Source organism: Homo sapiens, chromosome 3 (genome assembly GCF_000001405.40).
Source record: "Homo sapiens chromosome 3, GRCh38.p14 Primary Assembly".
Taxonomy (NCBI): domain Eukaryota; kingdom Metazoa; phylum Chordata; class Mammalia; order Primates; family Hominidae; genus Homo; species Homo sapiens.
In genome coordinates, this window is record NC_000003.12 from 153,522,101 (window position 1) to 153,541,890 (window position 19,790).

The window sequence follows — 19,790 nt, forward strand, 5'->3', positions numbered from 1 at the left end:
GGCGAAGGACATGAACAGACACTTCTCAAAAGAAGACATGTATGCAGCCAACGGACACATGAAAAATACTCATCATCACTGGCCATCAGAGAAATGCAAATCAAAACCACAATAAGATACCATCTCACACCAGTTAGAATGGCAATCATTAAAAAGTCAGGAAATAACAGGTGCTGGAGAGGATGTGGAGAAATAGGAACACTTTTACACTGTTGGTGGGACTGTAAACTAGTTCAACCCTTGTGGAAGTCAGTGTGGTGATTCCTCAGGGATCTAGAACTAGAAATACCATTTGACCCAACCATCCCATTACTGGGTATATACCCAAAGAACTATAAATCATGCTTCTATAAAGACACATGCACACATATGTTTATTGCGGCATTATTCACAATAGCAAAGACTTGGAACCAACCCAAATGTCCAACAATGATAGACTGGATTAAGAAAATGTGGCACATATACACCATGGAATACTATGCAGCCATAAAAAATGATGAGTTCATGTCCTTTGTAGGGACATGGATGAAATTGGAAATCATAATTCTCAGTAAACTATCGCAAGAACAAAAAACCAACCACCGCATGTTCTCACTCATAGATGGGAATTGAACAATGAGAACACATGGACACAAGAAGGGGAACATCACACTCTGGGGACTGTGGTGGGGTGGGGGGAGGGGGGAGGGATAGCTTTAGGAGATATACCTAATGCTAAATGATGAGTTAATGGGTGCAGCTCACCAGCACGGCACATGTATACATATGTAACTAACCTGCGCATTGTGCACATGTACCCTAAAACTTAAAGTATAATAATAATAAAATTTTTAAAAAAAGAAATTTCTTCTGACAGATACCCTAAATCATCTCTCTCAAGTTCAAAGTTCCACAAATCTCTATGGCAGGGGCAAAATGCCACCCATCTCTTTGCAAAAACATAACAAGAGTCACCTTTGCTTCAGTTCCCAACAAGTTCCTTGTCTCCATCTGAGAGCACCTCAGCCTGGATTTCATTGTCCATATCATTATCAGCATTTTGGTCAAAGCCATTCAACAAGTCTCTAGGAAGTTCCAAACATTCCCACATTTTCCTGAGCCCTCAAAACTGTTCCAACCTCTGCCTGTTACCCAGTTCCAAACTAGGTTCCACATTTTCAGGTATCTTTTCAGCAGCACTCCACTCTCCTGATACCAATTTACTGTATCAATCTATTTTCACAGATTTACAAAAATAAATAAATAAATAAATAAATAAATAAATAAGAGGTTTAATGGACTTACAGTTCCACATAGCTAGGGAGGCCTCACAATCATTGTGGAAGGTGAAAGGCACTTCTTACATGGTGGCAGCAAGAGAGAGAATGAGAGCCAAGTGAAACAGGTTTCCTCTTATCAAACCATCAGATATCGTGAGACTTATTCACTACCACAAGAACAGTATAGGGGAAACTGCCACCATGATTCAATTATCTCTCACCAGTCCCTCCCGCAACACGTGGGAATTATGGGAGTACAATTCAAGATGAGATTTGGGTGGGGACACAGAGCCAAACCATATCACAAGGGTAATTTGACTTCTTCTGTTTCAACTTGTACGCTATGTGTTTCTTCCTCTTGCCAAATTTCTCTGTCTAGGACTTCCAGTATTATAGTGAACAAAAGTGGTGAAAGTGAGCATCCTTATTTTTTTCTGTATCTTGAGGGAAAGGCTTTCAATTTTTCCCCGTTTAGTATAATGTTAGTTGTGGGTTTTCTGTCCGGATGATGTCTTCACTACTGAGAGTGTGATGTTGAAGTCCCCTACTATTCTTGAATAGTAGTGTATTTCTTCCTTTAGATTTACAAATGTTTCCATTATATACTTGGGAACCCTGGTATTCAATACATAAATATTTATACTTGTTATAGCTTCTTGCTGAATGGACCCCTTTATTATAATACAGTGACATTCTTTGTCTCTCTTCAGTCTTTGATTTGTAGTTTATATTGTCTGATAAAAACATAGCTACTCCTACCCATTTATTGTTTCCATTTGCATGAAATATATTTTTTTACCCCCTCACTTTTAGTCTGTGTGTGTCTTTATATTTGGGTTTCCTATAAGCAGCGTATAGTTGGGTCTTGTTTCTTTATCCATTCATCAACTCTATGCCTTTTAATTGGAGAATCAAATCTATTTACATTCAGTGTTATTTTTAATAAGTAAGGGCTTAGTGTGCCCATTTTGTTGTTCGTTTTATAATTCCTCTCTTTCTTTCTTCCTGGTTTTCTTTATAGTTAAGTAATTTTCTCTGCTAGTATGTTTTTATTCATTGTTTCTATTTTTAGTTAATTATTTATAATTTTTTTTTAATTTTTTTATTATTATACTTTAAGTTTTAGGGTACATGCGTGGTTACTATGAAGCTTACAAAAATCTTACAGATATAACAAGTTATTTTAAAGAGATGACAACTTATCTTAGATCAGAAAGCAATTAATAGAAACATAAAAAATAGAAAAGTAATCTACACCTTTTAACCCCATCCTCCCACATTTGGCTTTAGGTTGTCTCAATTTACATATTTTATACTACCCGTCTCTTGATGGATTGCTGTAGTTACTATAATTTTTGATAGATTTACCTTTAGGTTTCATACTAGAGTTATGAGTAGATTGCACACAATAATTACAGTCTTAGAGTATATATGATTGTGTACTTAATTTTATAAATGGGTTTTATACATACAAATGTTTTCTTTTTGCACATTAGTGTTTTTTTACTTCCATATTGAAAAACTCCTTATAGTATTTCTTGTAAGATGGGTGAAGCAGTGGTGAATTCTCTCAGCTTTGTTTGGGAGAAACTTTATCTCTCCTTTATATTGGAAGAATAGGTTACTGGATACAATATTTTTTGGATAGTAGTTTTTTGTTTCTTCTTCATCTTCTCTCAGTACTTTGAAAATGTCATCCTATTCCCTCCTGAACTGTACAGTTTTCATTTAAAAGTCTGTTGCCAAATGAATTGGAATTCTTTTATATGTTATTTGCTTCTTTTCTCTTGCTGCTTTTAGAATACTGTCTTTGTTCTTTGAGAATTTGATTATTATATGTCTTAGGGTAGTCTTATTTGGGTTGGTCAAATCTGTTTGGTGTTCTCTGACCTTCCTGTACCGGGATATTTAACTCTTTGAAAGTTTTATGTTATTATTTCTTCAAATAAAATTTCTAACTTTTGCTCTTTCTCTACTCTCTTTTGAATGCCAATAATTCTTAGATTTTTGTTTTACAAGGTAATTTTCTATATCTTGTAGATGATCTTTGTTTCTTTTCATTCTTTTTCTTTTTTCACCTCTGTGTATTTTCAAATGGCTTGTTTTTGAGCTCACTAATTCTTTCTTCCATTTGTTGGAAGACGCTGTTGAGAGTGTCTAAGGAAGTTTTCAGTTCAGCAAATGTATTTCTCAATTTCAAGCTATTTGATTTTTTAAAATTTAAATCTCTTTGTTAAATTTCTCTGAAACTTTTCTGAATTGATTTTTTTGTGTTATCTTGGAGTTTTCTTAAAACTGCCATTTTGAATTTTTGGTCAAAGAATTCACACATTTCAGTCTTATTAGGGTCAGTCATTGGTTTCTTGCTTTGTCCATTTGAGTAGGTCATGGTTTTCCATTTGCTGTTATTTCTCATGGAAGTATGTCCAAGAAAGATTGAAAGATTAGTTATTTATTTCAGTATCTTCTATCTGGCTTGTTTTGTTCTTCACTGACTATGTTAGCTCAGACATTCTTTGTAATTTACCTGTTGGTTTTATTTTTTCTTTTTACCTGCTAGATTGGTGCCTCCTTTCTGGCACTAGATGTTGCCTTAACCCAGGTTTGCCTCAGTTCTCATAAACAATCAGAGCTGCTTAGCCAGAATGGAGGAGATCACAAAGGGGATATCCCAATAGTGTGGGAAAGCTGGCTAGGAGTTTATAATTAGGGGGTCTGTGGAACAAATATCTTACAGTATTCTTGGATAGTAGCTTTTTGTTGAACAGCCACTCGGAGTTGTTATCTCCTTTTGCCAAGTTACAGAGCAAAGTTTCCAGGGCTAGAGAAGATGGTAGTGTCCTCCTCCCCCAACATTACCATTTGTCTCTGGTTGTTTGGTTGTTCTCAGAAATCTTTCTTGCTTTAGCCGCTCCCAAATTCGAGGCAGGGACAGGTCTCTAGCCAGAGAACCAAAGATGATAGGGAGCTGGTTGTCAACCCTGATCTCACATTTTCTAGTATAGAAACTAAGTTAGGGGGAAATTTTCCACATGCTTGGTGCCAGGCAGATTCAGGGGAGGAGTACCACACATACAGAAATTTGATTTCTCTGTAATCTCAGCGCAGTATATTTGTTTTTGGTTTTCTGTTGGGAAGTGATGCCAGCTTGCTTCTATGCTGCCATTTGGGACCTGGATGTCCAGCTTTTGTATTTTTTAAAGTATAATTGAATATTTTTCTTTACTTAAGAAAAAACATGAAAAATCATAAGCCTATTAGATTATTTATTTCAAATATTTATTCCATGAATATATAATAGGAAAATCAAAATGTTAAAAATCATCCAAAGTATTTTTTAAACCTTTTCTAGTATACAAATGTAATTTTAAAAGACTTCCAATTGTACAGATCCCTTAGAGTTATGCCTTTGTTCCTTGGAATGCTATGAATTTGGGTATTTTTGTGTCTTTATTGTGACTATTATAAATACAGATTAGGAAATGCTACTTTTACTTAATGTAATAAAACTATGCTTGGTTGCTTATTATTATATTCATAGAGCACCTCATTTTATTCTCTGAGTTGTACCTTTATTATCTTGCTTATTAATTGCTGTGAATGTTCCTGTGCTTATTGTTTAAGTTTATGCCTTTGAGTTCAATTTCTACTGAGTCTGCATTCATTATGTTATTGTGCACAGAGAAAAAAATTAAAAACAAGTCATAAAAAGAAATGCTAATGTGAAATCAGGCTTAAATGTGTATGCAACTCATTTAATTTCAGCTTTACATAGTTAGAGTCAGTTGAATCATTGAACTCTGTTTTTATTTTTCAAGTTTCCAGTTACTACCTAAATTTTTGAGATATTGTGGCAGAAAATGGTGTAAATGGAAGTAGAGTGGTGAAAGGACTGACACTTCTAAAATGTAGGGGAGACAGCCCTACTTCTACCTCTGTTACCATCATGACAGAGTAGAGGCTGAAAGAGTAGGTATGGAGTATGAAAGAGTAGTTACGTTGTGGAGTAGTTAGAGGTAAGAGATGAATTCTAAACCTCCAAATTGCTTGTGGCTGAAATCCCAAGGCAGTATCACCATCCAGTAATAACCAACAACAGGAAGATGGGACATAACCAGCAACTTAGAATTAGGGCTACTTCTCCATCTGACTTCAGTCTGCCAAGGTAGGCATTAAGGGAGGATGGGGTTTCTCTGTTGGAAAACAACAAATATTTTCATATTTCTGTATAGTCAGGACTTTCTGATGAAACATTACTTACTGGCAACCTGAGTTAAAGGATGAGTGAACAGAAAATAAGCTTTGGACATTAAAGATATTGAAATACCCAGGAGAGATTTCTAATGATTTGTCTCTCTTAAACCCATTTGTTCACATTGAAAAGGGTTTTAACAACTTGGCGACCTTCCCCTTCCCTTTCCAGAGAGGATTTGATTACATTGGAGAGCAAAAGTTTCTGTCTCTTCTCAGTGGGAGAAGAGAGGCATCTCTGCAGCAGATTCTGCACAAACTCCAAGAATCATAATTTTCAGGTCTTCTCCTAAAGAGCCCCTCCCTCTTTACGTATAGGGTGATATAGGCCCTCTATTGCCCCAAAGGGGAAATAGAGCACTGGAAACCAGCACTAAGATTGCTATTGAGAACTGCAGAATTCTCACCACATAATGACTCCATCCAAACCTCTGCACTAAGAGATGATCAAATTCTAGCATGGCTTCTAGTAGCACAGAGGTGTGTTCCCAGGATAACCACAGCTCGTTATAATGCCTAGCTGAGAAAGCTAAATACCGCCAGGAGAATTTACTGTTTGTTCTAGTCAACTGCTGACAATAGGCCCTAGACATTCCTTTTTAAAAAATGTTTACAATTGTGAATATGTATTACTTACAATTCAGAAGATTCTCAGAGCCATTCCTTTAAAATGGGCATGGGCAACATGAGAAAAGAGTACAGTAATCTATATGGAGGGTTATTGTATAACCTATGAATTATGCACAATTCATAAATTTTTCAGTGAATCAATTTTTCAGTTATCACCAGGAAAGATAGGGCCTCTGTCTTTCTGTCTCTGTGGGAAGACAGAATTCTAACTTTCATTAGAATGTTAGCAAACACAGCTTGCCTAATCATATTTATACTGATCAACCCTTTGTAAATTTTTTACCTCTTTGACTCTACCTAGCTCTCCCCTTCCTAATTCTCCCTTAAAAAACCCCCAATAATCTTTTCACAAATCCAAATGGAGCTCAGCTCTTTCATCTACTGTGAGTAGTTACTGAATCAGTGTTTATTGCTTTAACAAGTACTTGGCTGTGTTTATCTTTTACAAGATATAAGTAAATAATCAGTCTGGGTCTTATCCAGAAAACTTTTGCTTACAGTATGAATAAAATACATAGATATAAAAAGATATTAATCTTCCTCTACCCAAAGGAAGTCATCTTCTTTTACAGCTCTCTTCTAATAGATATAGAAAATACTGTTTCCAATAATTGAAGAATAAATGCTTATTTTTAATTAACTATGAAAAGTGAACATGTACTAGGCCATAAAACAATTACCAAACATCATAAAGAATTACAGAAAATTACAGACCATATTCTCCAACCTCACTGGAATTCAGTAAGAATCTATGACAAGAAAAGCAAATACAGATATTTCAATATTTTCAAAGAAATACTTCCACATAACCCATGCATCAAAGAAGAAATTATATTTTTTAATGTGGTAAATAGTGTCAGAATATATGAAATACAGTTAAAAAGTTACATTTAGACTGAAATATATAACCTTAAAGGGTGATATTAGAAAAGAAGAAAGACTAAAATTAATAAGCTAAGGTTCCAACTTTCAAAGTCAAGAAAGAGAACAAAATAGTAACAAAGAAAATATAGAAGAGAGAAACATCAGAGCAGAAAACCACAACTTAAAAAAGAGCAACAAACTGAAAAGTTGGAAGTTGGAAAATAAAACAATTTATAATTGTTATCAGCTGGAAATACTGATTAAGGAAGAGGAGACACAGTTGCTGATACCACTGTGGAATACAAAGGAATACAAAGAGAAATATATTTATAGATGTAGAAGATCCAAACTGAGTGCTTTTTACAAAGATCATTAAATTACTGAGTCATTTATCAGTAATTTAAAATCTTCCTAGAAAGAAAAATCTCTGAACTAGACAGTTTTACCAGTAATTTCTATCAAATATTCAAAGAGCAAATAATAATAATATTATATAAAGCCTTCTAAGGAGTAGAAAGACACTAACCTCCTACATTCTTTTACAAGGTGAGCATATTCTCGATACAAGAATGACACATGGGCAATATGAGAAAAGAGTACAGTAATCTATATTGTGGGTTATTGTATAACCTCTGAATTACACACAACAAATAAATTTTTCAGTGACTCAAAACTATCATATTAATATTATAGATTAAGAACTTCTCATATATTTGTGTTTTATATATTTGTGATATTTAAAAAATTTGTTTTATCAGAGTAGCAGGTCAACATTATAAGTCTAATGCAATTATATTATTGAGTAATCAGTTTAGATATTTTAATTTGGTTTAAATACTCAGCATTTTTTATTGTTAAGTTTTACATTAAGATTACTTAAAAATAAATACACTATATAAAATTTATATATGTACTTAGAATGCTGCTATGAATTTGATTAAGTTTATAGGAGGAGTCACACATTAATCAAAAGCTTTAGATTAACATTACTAGATACATAAAAAGAGCCATATGTGTAAGATATAGCTACAAAATTAGGGATTAACTGAGTTTTTAAATAAATTGAAAATCAATACAAAGGTATGAGTAATCTTATTCAAGCACAAAAGCTATTTTCAAGGGCTCCAAAAGTTTACCTTAACTATAGATAGGAACAGGGATGATATTCATCCAGTATGCCTTTTGATGGCCATGCTGGTTCCTCATATGCAAAATTAACCCTTATTGTTCTGATATCAATGGACAGGTTGATGTGTATGCCCCGATGCTTATTAACTGTTTTGAGCATCAGTGAAATAGGTAGAGTTCATATTATTGAGAAACCAATTTTTCATTAATAAATCTATAGAGACTATTTCAGTAAAAATTCTGACATTGTTTCATGATAATCTGACAAGCTAATTTAAAAACTTATATGGAAGAATGAAGGTCATAAATATTCAAAATATTCCTATAAAAGAAGGAGGTAAAGAATTTGTATTACCAGATAGTTAAACCTATTAACTGTACAACTTCAGACAATATGATATTGGCACAAGGACTCTTCTATTCCATTGGTCTCTTTTTCAAAAAAGAGAAATAGTTTCATAGTTTCATGCATATAAAAAACTTAAGATATGAGAGAAGATCAGTAGGAAAATACAAGACCTTTCAATAAATTACATTATACCACCTACCTATTAAAGTAGAATAATTTAAAAAATAAATTTCTATCTTATAAACATATGCAAAAAAATAATTCCAGGTGGATTAAAGAACTAATGTAAAAGGCAAAGCTTTATAACTTAAAGAGTATACTTTAATGACCTCTACATAGGAGAGGAGTACTTACAAAAAACACTAACCAATAACCATAAAATAAAATATTGCTAAATTTGATGTCATTAAATGAATGCTTGTCAATCAAAAAACCTGATGGAAAAAGTGAAAATATGACTTAAAAACTGAGAATATATTTTAAACACACATAATTGTGTTTAAAAGATTAGTATACCTATTATATAAAGAAATCATACAAATCAAAAAGAGAAAATAAACAGAAAAATGAGCTTAAGTCATGAATGACTGGAGGAAGCAAAACAACATGGCCAAATAGAGGCCTCCACTGAGGAACTTCTAGAAGTCTCCTGCAGGAACACCAAATTTGACAACTATCTACACAAAAAACACTTTCTTTTTTTTTTGAGATGGACTTTCGCTCTGTCACCCAGGCTGGAGGGCAGTGACATGATCTCAGCTCACTGCAACCTCCGCCTCCCAGGTTCAAGCTATTCTCCTGCCCCAGCCTCCCAAGTAGCTGGGACTACAAGGCACATGCCACTGCACCCAGCTAATTTTTATATTTTTAGTAGATACGGGGTTTCACCATCTTGGCCAAGCTTGTCTCCATCTCCTGACCTCGTGATCTACCCATCTCAGCCTCCAAAAGTGCTGGGATTACAGGTGTGAGCCACCACGCCTGGCCGAAAAAGTCCTTTCATAAGAGCCAAGTATCAGGTAAGTAATCATGATACCTGGTTTTAACTTCATATTACTTAAAGACGTACTGAAGAGGGTAGAAAAGACAGTCTTGAATTGCTGATGCCAATCCTCCCCAACTCCCTGGCAGTGGCCAAGTGGCACAGAGAGAGAATATGTGCACTTAGGGGAGGCAGAGCACAGTGTTTGTGGGACCTTGTATTGGAACTCGATGCTGCCAACATTAGACAGAACTCAGCTGATGCCCATGGAGGTACCATTTAGACTAGCCCTAGCCAGAGGGGAATTGCCCATCTCAGCAGTCAAACTTGAGTTTCAGCAAGCCTCACAGCTGAGGATTAAAATGCTCTGGGGTTCTAAATAAACTTGAAAGGCAGTCCAGGACACAATGACTGCAACTCCTAGGAAAGGCCAGTATTTTGCTGGGCTCAGAGCCAGTGGACTTGGTGGGCAGGTGACATAGTGAGACACCAACTGGGGCAGCTAAGGGAATACTTGCCTCATCCCTCTGCAGCCCTAGGCAGTACAGTTTGCAGCTCCAAAAGAGACCCTTTATTTCTGTTTGAGGAGAGGAGAAGAGACAGTAAAGGGGACTTTGTCTTGCCACTTGGATATCAGCTCAACCACAGTAGGACAGGGCACTAGACAGAGTTGTCAGGGCCAGTTCCAGGCCTTATCTCCCACACAGAATTTCTAGTCACATCCTGAGCCAAATGGGAACCTTGTGCCCTGAAGAGAAGGAAGGAAGGACTCAGTACTGGCAAGATTCATTACCTCCTGACTAAAGAGCTCTTTGCCCTGAATTATCAGCAGTGGTAGCTAGGTAGTATTCACCTTGGGTGAGACTTAGAGCTGTACTGACTTCAGGTGTGACCCAGAATAATCAGAGCTATGGTGTCTATCAGGAGAGAATCATTCTGTTTGAGAAGAGGGGAGGGAAGAAGAAACGGGACCTTGTCTTGCAGCTTAGGTATCAGCTTGGTCACCAAGTAGGCTCTTGGAGTCTGTGATTCCAGACTTTGGCTTTTAGATGGCATTTCTGGACCTACCCTAGGCTAGAGGGGAGCCCAGTGTCCTGAAGCGTGAGTCCCATGCCTTTCAGCATTCACCATAACATGACAGAAGAGCTCTTGGGCCTTAAATGTACATTGGTTTTATGCTGGCAGTGGGTTGATAAACAGACTAAGAAAGAAATTGAAAAATTTCTTGAAACAAATGATAATGAAAACACAACATATCAAAACCTATGGGATACAGTGAAAGCGGTACTAAGAGGGAAGTCTATAGCTATAAGTGTCTACATCTAAAAAGGAGAAAAACTTCAAATACACAACCTAATGATACATCTTACAGAACTAGAAATGCAAGAGCAAACCAAAACCAAACTTAGTAGAAGAAAATAAATAATAAAGATCAGAGCAGAAATACATAAAATTGAAATGAAGAAAAAATATAAAACATTAATGAAATAAAAGTTGGCTTTTTGAAGAGATAAACAAAATTGAATAACATTTAGCTAGACTAAGAAATAGGGTGAAGACCCAAATAAACAAAATCAGACATGAAAAAGGAGACATTACAACTGATACCACATAAATTCAAAAGATCATTAGAAGCTACTATGAGCAACTATAAGCTAATAAATTAGAAAACCTGAAGAAATGGATAAATTTCTTGACACATACAATCTACAAAGACAGAACCAAGAAGAAATCCAAAACCTGAGCAGACCATTAACAAGCAACAAAATCAAAGCCACGATAAAAAGTCTGTCAGCAAGGAAAAGCCCAAGACTTGTTGGCTGCATTGCTAAATTTTACCAAACATTTAAAGAACTAATACCAATTTTACTCAAACTTCCAAATAATAGAAGAGGAAGGAATACTTACTTCCAAACTAATTCTACAAGGTGAAGAATTACCAAAACCAGACAAAGACAAATCAAAACATAAAAAGAAAGAAAAATGAAAAGAAAACCACAGGACAATATCCCTAATAAACATTTATGCAATAATCCTGTACAAAACACTAGCAAATTAAATTCAACAACACATCATAAAGATCATTCATCATGACCAAGTGGCATTTATCCCAGGGATGCAAATATGGTTCAATGTATGCAAGTCAATCAATGTGATATATTATATCAACAGAATGAAGAACAAAAACCATATGATCATTTCAACTGATGATGTAGAGGCATTTGATAAAAATTCAACATTTCTTCATGATAAAAACCCTTAAAAAACTGGGTATAGAAAAAAACATACCTCAACATAATAAAAGCCATACATGACAGACTCATAGCTAATAACATATTGAATGGCAAAAAACTGAAAGCCTTTCTTTTAAAATCTGGAACGTAACAAGAATGCCTACTTTTACCACACTGTTATTCAACATAGTACTGGAAGTCCTACCTAGAACAATCAGACAAGAGAAAGAAATAAAGGGCATCCAAATTGGAAAGGAAGAAGTCAAATTACCTTTGTTTGTAGATGAGGTGATCTTACATTTGGAAAAAACTAGACTCCACCAAAGAACCATTAGAGCCAATAAACAAATTTAGTAAAGTTGTAGGATACAAAATTGGCATACAAAAATTATCAGGATTTTTATATGCCAATAGGAAACAATCTGAAAAAGAAATCAAGAAAATAATTCTATACATAGTAGCTATGAATAAAATTAAATATCTAGGAATTAACCAAAAAAGTGAAAGAGCTTTACAATGAAAACTATAAAATATTGTTGACAGAAATTGAAGAGGGCACAAAAAAAAAAAAAAAAAAACCGAAAAGATATGGCCAGGCATGGTGGCTCACGCCTGAAATCCCAGCACTTTGGGAGGCCAAGACAGGCAGATCATGAGGTCAAGAGACCGAAACCAACCTGGCCAACGTGGTGAAACCGTGTCTCTACTAAAAATACAAAAATTAGCTGGGCATGATTGCGCATACCTGTAGTCCCAGCTGCTTGGGAGGCTGAGGCAGCAGAATCGCTTGAACCCTGGAAGCAGAGGTTGCAGTGAGCCGAGATCATGCCACTGCACTCCAGCCTGGTGACAGAGCGAGATTCCATCTAAGGAAAAAAAAAAAAAAAAAGGAAAGATAATCCATGCTTGTGGATTGGAAGAATGAATATTGTTAAAATGTCCATACTACACAGAGTGATCTACAGTTTCAATGCAATCCTTATCAAAATACCAAAGATATTCTTCACAGAAAAAGAAAAAAAAATCCTAAAATTTATATGGAGCTACAAAAGAACCAGATTAGCCAAAGCTATCCTGAGAAAAAAAAAACAACAAAACTGGAGGAATCACATTACCTGACTTCAAACTATACTACAGAGCTATAGTAACCAACACAGCATGGTACTGGCATAAAAACAGACACATAGAGCAAGAAACAGAAGAGTGAACCCAAAGAAAAATCCACACACCTACAGTGAAACCATTTTCAACAAAGCTCCCAAAAACATACACTGGGGAAAGGAAAGTCTCTTCAATATACTGTGCTGGGTACACTGGATATCCATATGCAGGAGAATGAAACTAGAGTATCCTTCGCTACATACAAAAAGCAAATCAAAATGTATTAAATACTTAAATTTAAGAGTTCCTATTATTAAACTACTAGTAGAAAACATTGGGAAAACTCCCCAGGACATTGGAGGGGGCAAAAATTTCTTGATCAATACCCAACAGGCACAGGCAACCAAAGCAAAACTGGACAAACAGGATCACATCAAGTTAAAAATCATCTGCACAACAAAGGAAACAAAGTGAAGAGACAACCCACAGAATGGGAAAAAGTATTTACAAACTACTCATCTCACAAGGAATTAATAATAAGACTATATAAGGAGCTCAAACAACTCTATACAAAAATATCTAATAATGTGATTTAAAAATGGGCAAAAGATCTGAATAGACATTTCTCAGAAGACATAAAAATGGCAAACAGGTATATAAAAATGCTCAGTATCACTGATCATCAGAGAAATGCAAATCAACTACAACTAAATATCATCTCACTCCGTTAAAATGGTTTTCATCTAGAAGACGGGCAATAACAAATGCTGGTGAAGATATGGAGAAAAGGGAATCCTCATACACTCTTGGTGGAAATGTAAATTAATACAACCACTATGGAGAACAGTTTGAGGATTCCTCAAAAATCTATAAATAGAGCTACCATAGTATCTAACAATCCCACTGCCACGTATATACCTTAAAGAAAGGAAATCAGTATATCAAAGAGACATCTGCACTGCCATGTTTATTGCAGAACTATTTACAATAGCCAAGATTTGGACGCAACATAAGTGTCCATCAACAGATGAGCAGATAATAAAAATGTGGTACATATACACAATGGAGTAGTGTGTTGCCATTAAAAAAATGAGATCCTATCATCTGCAACAACAGGAATAGAACTCGAAGTAATTTTGTTAAGTGAAATAAGCCAGGCACAGAAAGGCAAACTTCACATGTTCTCACTCATTTGTGAGAGCTAAAAATTAAAACAATTGAACTCATAGAGAGTAGAATGATCGTTACCAGTTGCTGGGGAGGGTAATGAACAGGTTACAGGGGATGTAAGAAATGGTAATGGGTTAAAAAAATAGTTACAATGAATAAATAAGACCTAGTATTTGATAGCACAATAGGATAACTATAGCCAATAACAATTTAATCGTACATGTAAAAATAACTAAAAGAACATAATATTGTTTATAATACAAAGGATAAATCCTTGAGGTTATGGATACCCCATTTACTCTGATATGCTTGTTACAGTTGGGCCTATATAAAATATCCCATATACCGCATAAATATATACACCTACTATGTACTCACAATTTTTTAAAAAGACATGAATGATCTTTCACAGAAAACAGAAAAAACAAAAAGAATCTCAATTTTATCATTATTCATGGAAATAAACATTAAGTCCAAAATGAAGAATCATTTCTATCCTCAAGTCTGCAGAAATTAAAATTTCAACCATATTAACTGTTAGCAATTTGGGGGAGTAATACAAATTAACACAGTGCCAATAGAAGCATAAATTGCTATTATCACTCTGAAAAACTATTGGCTATTATGTAAAAAAGCTGGAGATAGGCATTCACTCTTCCCAGCAATTACACTCCTAGGTATGAGTCCTAAAGATACTCTTGTGCAAATTCCTTAGGAGGCTTTACGATAATGTGTATTCAAGCATTGTTTTAATAGCAAAAACAAAACAAAATTGGATGAAAATATTTATCTACAGAAATGTGGGTAAACTGTGGTATATTCCTGTAAGGGAATACTATGGAGCAGGAAAAATAAATAAAGCAGAGTTACATGTATCAACATGGATGAATTTCACAAATATAATAGTAAGTAATAAAAGCAGTAGAATACAAAGAGCTTCATTCCATTTATATAAAATTAAAAATATGAAAATATTGGTTTGGGGATTCATGTATTTGTATAATACATGTATGGTTGAAAGCAATAAAATTTTGAATTCAGGCCCAGCACTTTGGGAGGCTGAGGCGAGTGGATCACCTGAAGTCAGGAGGAGACCAGCCTGGCCAACATGGTGGAACTCCACCTCTACTAAAAATACAAAACATTAGTCTGGCGTGGTGGTGGGCTCCTGAAATACCAGCTACTCAGGAGGCTGAGGCAGGAGAATTGCTTGAACCTGGGAGACAGATGTTGCAGTGACTGAGATCGCACAATTGCACTCCAGCCTGGGCAACAAGAGCGAAACTCTGTCTGAAAACAAACAAACAAACAAAACCAATAAAATTAAAATATTGAATTCAAAATTCAGGATAATGGTTTATTCTGGGGGATAAAGAGGAAGATACAGTCAAGAGAGCATATAAAGGAGGATGCAATATTGACAATGTTCTATATTTTAAGCTGAGTGATATATTTTATATGTGTGTGTATACATACATGTATACTAATACACATTAGCATATGCAATTTTGCATGTATAAAATACTAAATTCTAAAATATAATCCAAAAAGCACTGTCCTTAGAAACTTATATAAGCTAATTTAATCATCAGAATAGCTCTCTAAGATATAATCACTCTCATTCTCAACACCTTATCCTTGGTCTAATGTAATCACAGAAACTTTTCCATGAGGTAAGAATTATTTTGGAAATAAGGGAAATAAGGTACAGGAGATTAAAATCTTGTCCAAGTTCACATAGCTAGTAAGTGCAGGAGCTTATCCATTAAAGTAAACGACCTCTATATGTAAAATAGGTAACCTCTCAATATCAATTAGTTTATCATAAGGGAGTAATTATATAGATATACAAAAAGTTATAAAAAGATATTTATTGTCTCAATGTTAACGAAATAAAAAAGTGGAAATGACCCATATAGAACCTTACTGGCTAGGCAAAAGGTAACATTTTCCAATCACAGAACATTATACAACCATTTATAATTATGTTGGAGCTATGTAATTATCATGATGAAAAAATATCCCTGATATGTTAAGTTTAAAAATCTGTCTGGTATATATTGTATGATGTTATTTTGAAAAAAACTAAAAGCACAGTGTATCTTCAACTGTACTGGTAATTGAAGCAATTACAAAGAACTTCTACCATCTGCTACATCTATCCACATTAGGGGATCTGTACCCATAACTATCTTATACATTTTTTTCCTGCCTGTTATTTTAGGGGAGGCATCAGTGCTTCTGTGCAAAGCCAATGCTATGCAAGTGCACTGGGTTCATCCACCCAACCTACTTAAGGGTATTAGCCAGCCAGAAATTTACCTCTGTGTTAACAGTTCAGGATTTTGGAGCATGAAGAATATGACTTCTCAATTTTATGCCCCCAGGAGTTTGTAGTGTTTAATCAAAAGAATTACTCAACAAATATGGGCTAAATGAATAAACGATTGGAAACGTAATAATGCCTTAAGCATTATTGTTTTACCAAAATTGTGTTCAAGACCATTGTTACACCTGGAAGAAGGAGAAAAAGGGTCTCTTCCATCTCTTCTCTCCTCTAACCTAGTGTCTTGGGACTCAAGCTCATGGTTTTAGTGCTACAGTTGAGCAGACTTTCATGGAGTGTCTGGGAATCTAACTATCATTTGTAAAACAGTTCTTTTGAAAAAATAGGTTATAAGCTAAAAACAACTGATTTACAAACTCTTTGTTTGAATTATCTTATCAATAAAGTGCCTGTAGAATGATGCTTGAGAAACATAAGAGTTATAAAAAAGAGAAAAAGGTAACTGCAACCGTGTTGAGATGTCCTTGATGTCAGTCAGTACAAGTCAAAGTATAAGACAGGCTAGACAATTTTTAAAGTCAAACACGTAGTTTTATGTGACATTTAGTAGCATGGTATATTAAATTGGTAAAAAGAATGTATAGAGAAGATTCTAGCCCCAAAGAGAAAAAAAATACGTATGTTTTAAACATAGAACATGATTTGAAAATAGGTTGGAAAAGTTGATGTGAACTCATAAATTGTAAAACATTTACTTTCTCTAGCTCTGTTGTTAACATGAAGTATCCTTGGTGCCACCTAGTCTAATATTAGTCCCCACTTGGTAGTTGCCTGCAGTGCTCAAATGTTTGCTTCTGCTATTCTTCACTAAAAACAATCAGAGCTTCTGGAGAAAAGCTGATTCAATGGTTCTATACAATAAAATCAAGATAGTTCCATGAAATTTTGCTACCATAAAGCAACAAATGGGTCAGCTTTAAGGGACTTTCAATGGCCAAGTTGTGATCATTTGAGCATTAATTTTGTGTAAACATGACAAATACTAGCAGATATGCTAAGGAAAAGACAGAAATGAGTTGTTAAATATATGAAAGAAATGCTTAGGCTGCAAATTCCTTTAAGGCAAAATCTCACAAAAGATTGATGAAATGTATTGCAGTGTGGTTTGGTGATACAGAGTCTCCTCAGCTCAAATTATATAACAAAATCTATGAAAGATATTATGGTTAAAATAATAGATAAGGGTAGTGAATGATACACCCGAGAGCAAAAACTAGACAGGGAGAATTTGAAGTTTCTTATTTCTAAAAAAAAAAAAAAAAAAAAAAGAATTGATTTTGCTCAATAAATCTCTTAAACATGTTAGATTCACTTAGGGGACTATAACTTATTGAATTTCATTTTGCTTTATTAGCTTTACAAGGATTGCTTCCATGCTGAAAAAGATGTGGGTATATAAATTGACAGATCTGCCCGGTTAGTTGTTAAAAAGTCTTGAGAAAATCAGATAAATCTGAATTGTAGTTTGAAATAGCTAAAGAAATTAAATTAATCTTGTTTATGAATGCTGTTAAATATCTAGGGGAAATGAATCTGCCAAATTTAGTAATTAATTAGGCATTTATCAAAGTGAAAGTAATTTTTAAAATTTAAACAAAAATTACTAGACTCATAAGCAAAATAAGAGGTTTCGTGATTTGAGCTTTAAGGTGTAAGAGAAAATAGGTACCTCTTCCCAATATACAACTAAATAAGGTGAATTTTAATCAAAGTGTAAGTTATTGTAAGCACTTCTTTATGCTAAGTACTCCCAGATGTTAAAAATATCATAACCTATTTATAATTTGAAGGCTGCCTTACAATGTAATATAGTGGTTGATTATGTGTACATGATTTTACAAGACATGGAGATGTAGAATTAAATCTCAGCTCTGCTGCTTAATGGCCGTGTGACTGGTAAAAACTCTGATCTTCAGCTTTAATATTAACTTGATTAATTAACATGGTGATAGCACCTAAATCCTTTTGACGATTATGGTAAGTGACTTGTTTTTTAGGTCCTGGTAAGTAATAATAATGCAATCGTAGTTATTTATTGTTAATACAGGAAAAGTTAGCTAATAATACGTGGTAGAAAATAACGTGTCCAATGACAGCTGATTTAATAAGAAAAGACGTTATGAAGGTAGGTGGGTAGGATTTACACAGCAAGAAAGGACGAAGCAAGGAATTTCGGCTTGAAGCTCAGAGGCAAGAAAACACCAGGAAAATTTGAAGGTCTATAACTAAATTTTAAGGTCTAACTAACTAAAATTTAAGGTCTATAAACTAAATTTTTTACCAAAATTTAGTTGAAGAGATAATAATGAGCAAATGGATTATGTTTAGATTGTAGAAAACCTGAAATCACTAAGGAATTTGGGTTTAAACTAGATGCTAGCTAATAACAGCTTAGATATAGCAACAGCTGTTAGGCATAAAAGATTCATACTAAATAATGAACATTGGAACTAAGTATAGATGGAATGATTGTCAAAATGATTTTTGTTAATAGGCTAAAATATACGAATGCAAAATTGCTTTCTGATGGAATTTTCTAAAATAAAGTTTCATTCCATGGAAACGCATTTATTTTATTTATTTTTATTTTTATTTTTTCTGAGACGAAGTCTCGCTCTGTCACCCAGGCTGGAGTGCAGTGGCACGATCTCGGCTCACTGCAAGCTCCGCCTCCCAGGTTCACGCCATTCTCCTGCCTCAGCCTCCCGAGTAGCTGGGGCTACAGGCGCCCGCCGCCACGCCCGGCTAATTTTTCTGTATTTTTAGTACAGACGTGTTTCACTGTGTTAGCCAGGATGTTCTCGATCTCCTGACCTCGTGATCTGCCCGCCTTGGCCTCCCAAAGTGCGGGAATTACAGGCGTGAGCCACGGTGCCCGGCCAGAAATGCATTTAAAAACACGTGACAATGTTACTCTCATGAATTTACTTTTTAAAGATTACAGATTTATTTTGTTCATGTATTTTAGAGACTCAAATGATTTTACTACAGAACTACTAAGCTAACACAAACGTTTCAGTTTCATACAATGAAGTGGTGATGCAGTGTTGAAGGAAAAAGTGACATTACTCTCCGTTATCAACTGAGAAAATGGCACTGAAATGCATAGACATTTTCTTTTTCTTTAGGAAATTTAATTCCTTCATATGATGATATAATCATATATTGCCTCAAGTTGAGATATTTAAGATTAATTTTGCTCTATGTAAAGCAGAAAGAATTAATCTGGCATCCTTATTACCTTAGAAATAAAAGGAAGTATTTAAGGAATAAAACAAAATGATAATTGAGAATAAAAACTACATATATGTTATTTTGAAAGATTAATCACACAAAAGTGATTTGGGGAAATAATGCTTAGTTTAGAATGAATGTTTGTTTACATAATTTTTTCTGTCTATAATTCTTTTATATGAAATTACAAAAAATTGGTAAATCTAAAGGAAAATTGTTTTTACTGATATGTTTTTGGATA

The 19,790-nt window shown here is 34.6% G+C and overlaps 1 long non-coding RNA gene across 1 annotated transcript in view; it reads right to left on the bottom strand.

The window, feature by feature from the left end:
• The window catches only part of LINC02006 (long intergenic non-protein coding RNA 2006), a 378,977-nt gene that overhangs the window by 138,551 nt on the left and 220,636 nt on the right, over positions 1-19,790 (bottom strand). Inside the window, exon 5 of the long non-coding RNA NR_146713.1 lies at positions 12,443-12,563. This is a non-coding gene — a long non-coding RNA (long intergenic non-protein coding RNA 2006). The remainder of the gene's footprint in view (positions 1-12,442; positions 12,564-19,790) is intronic.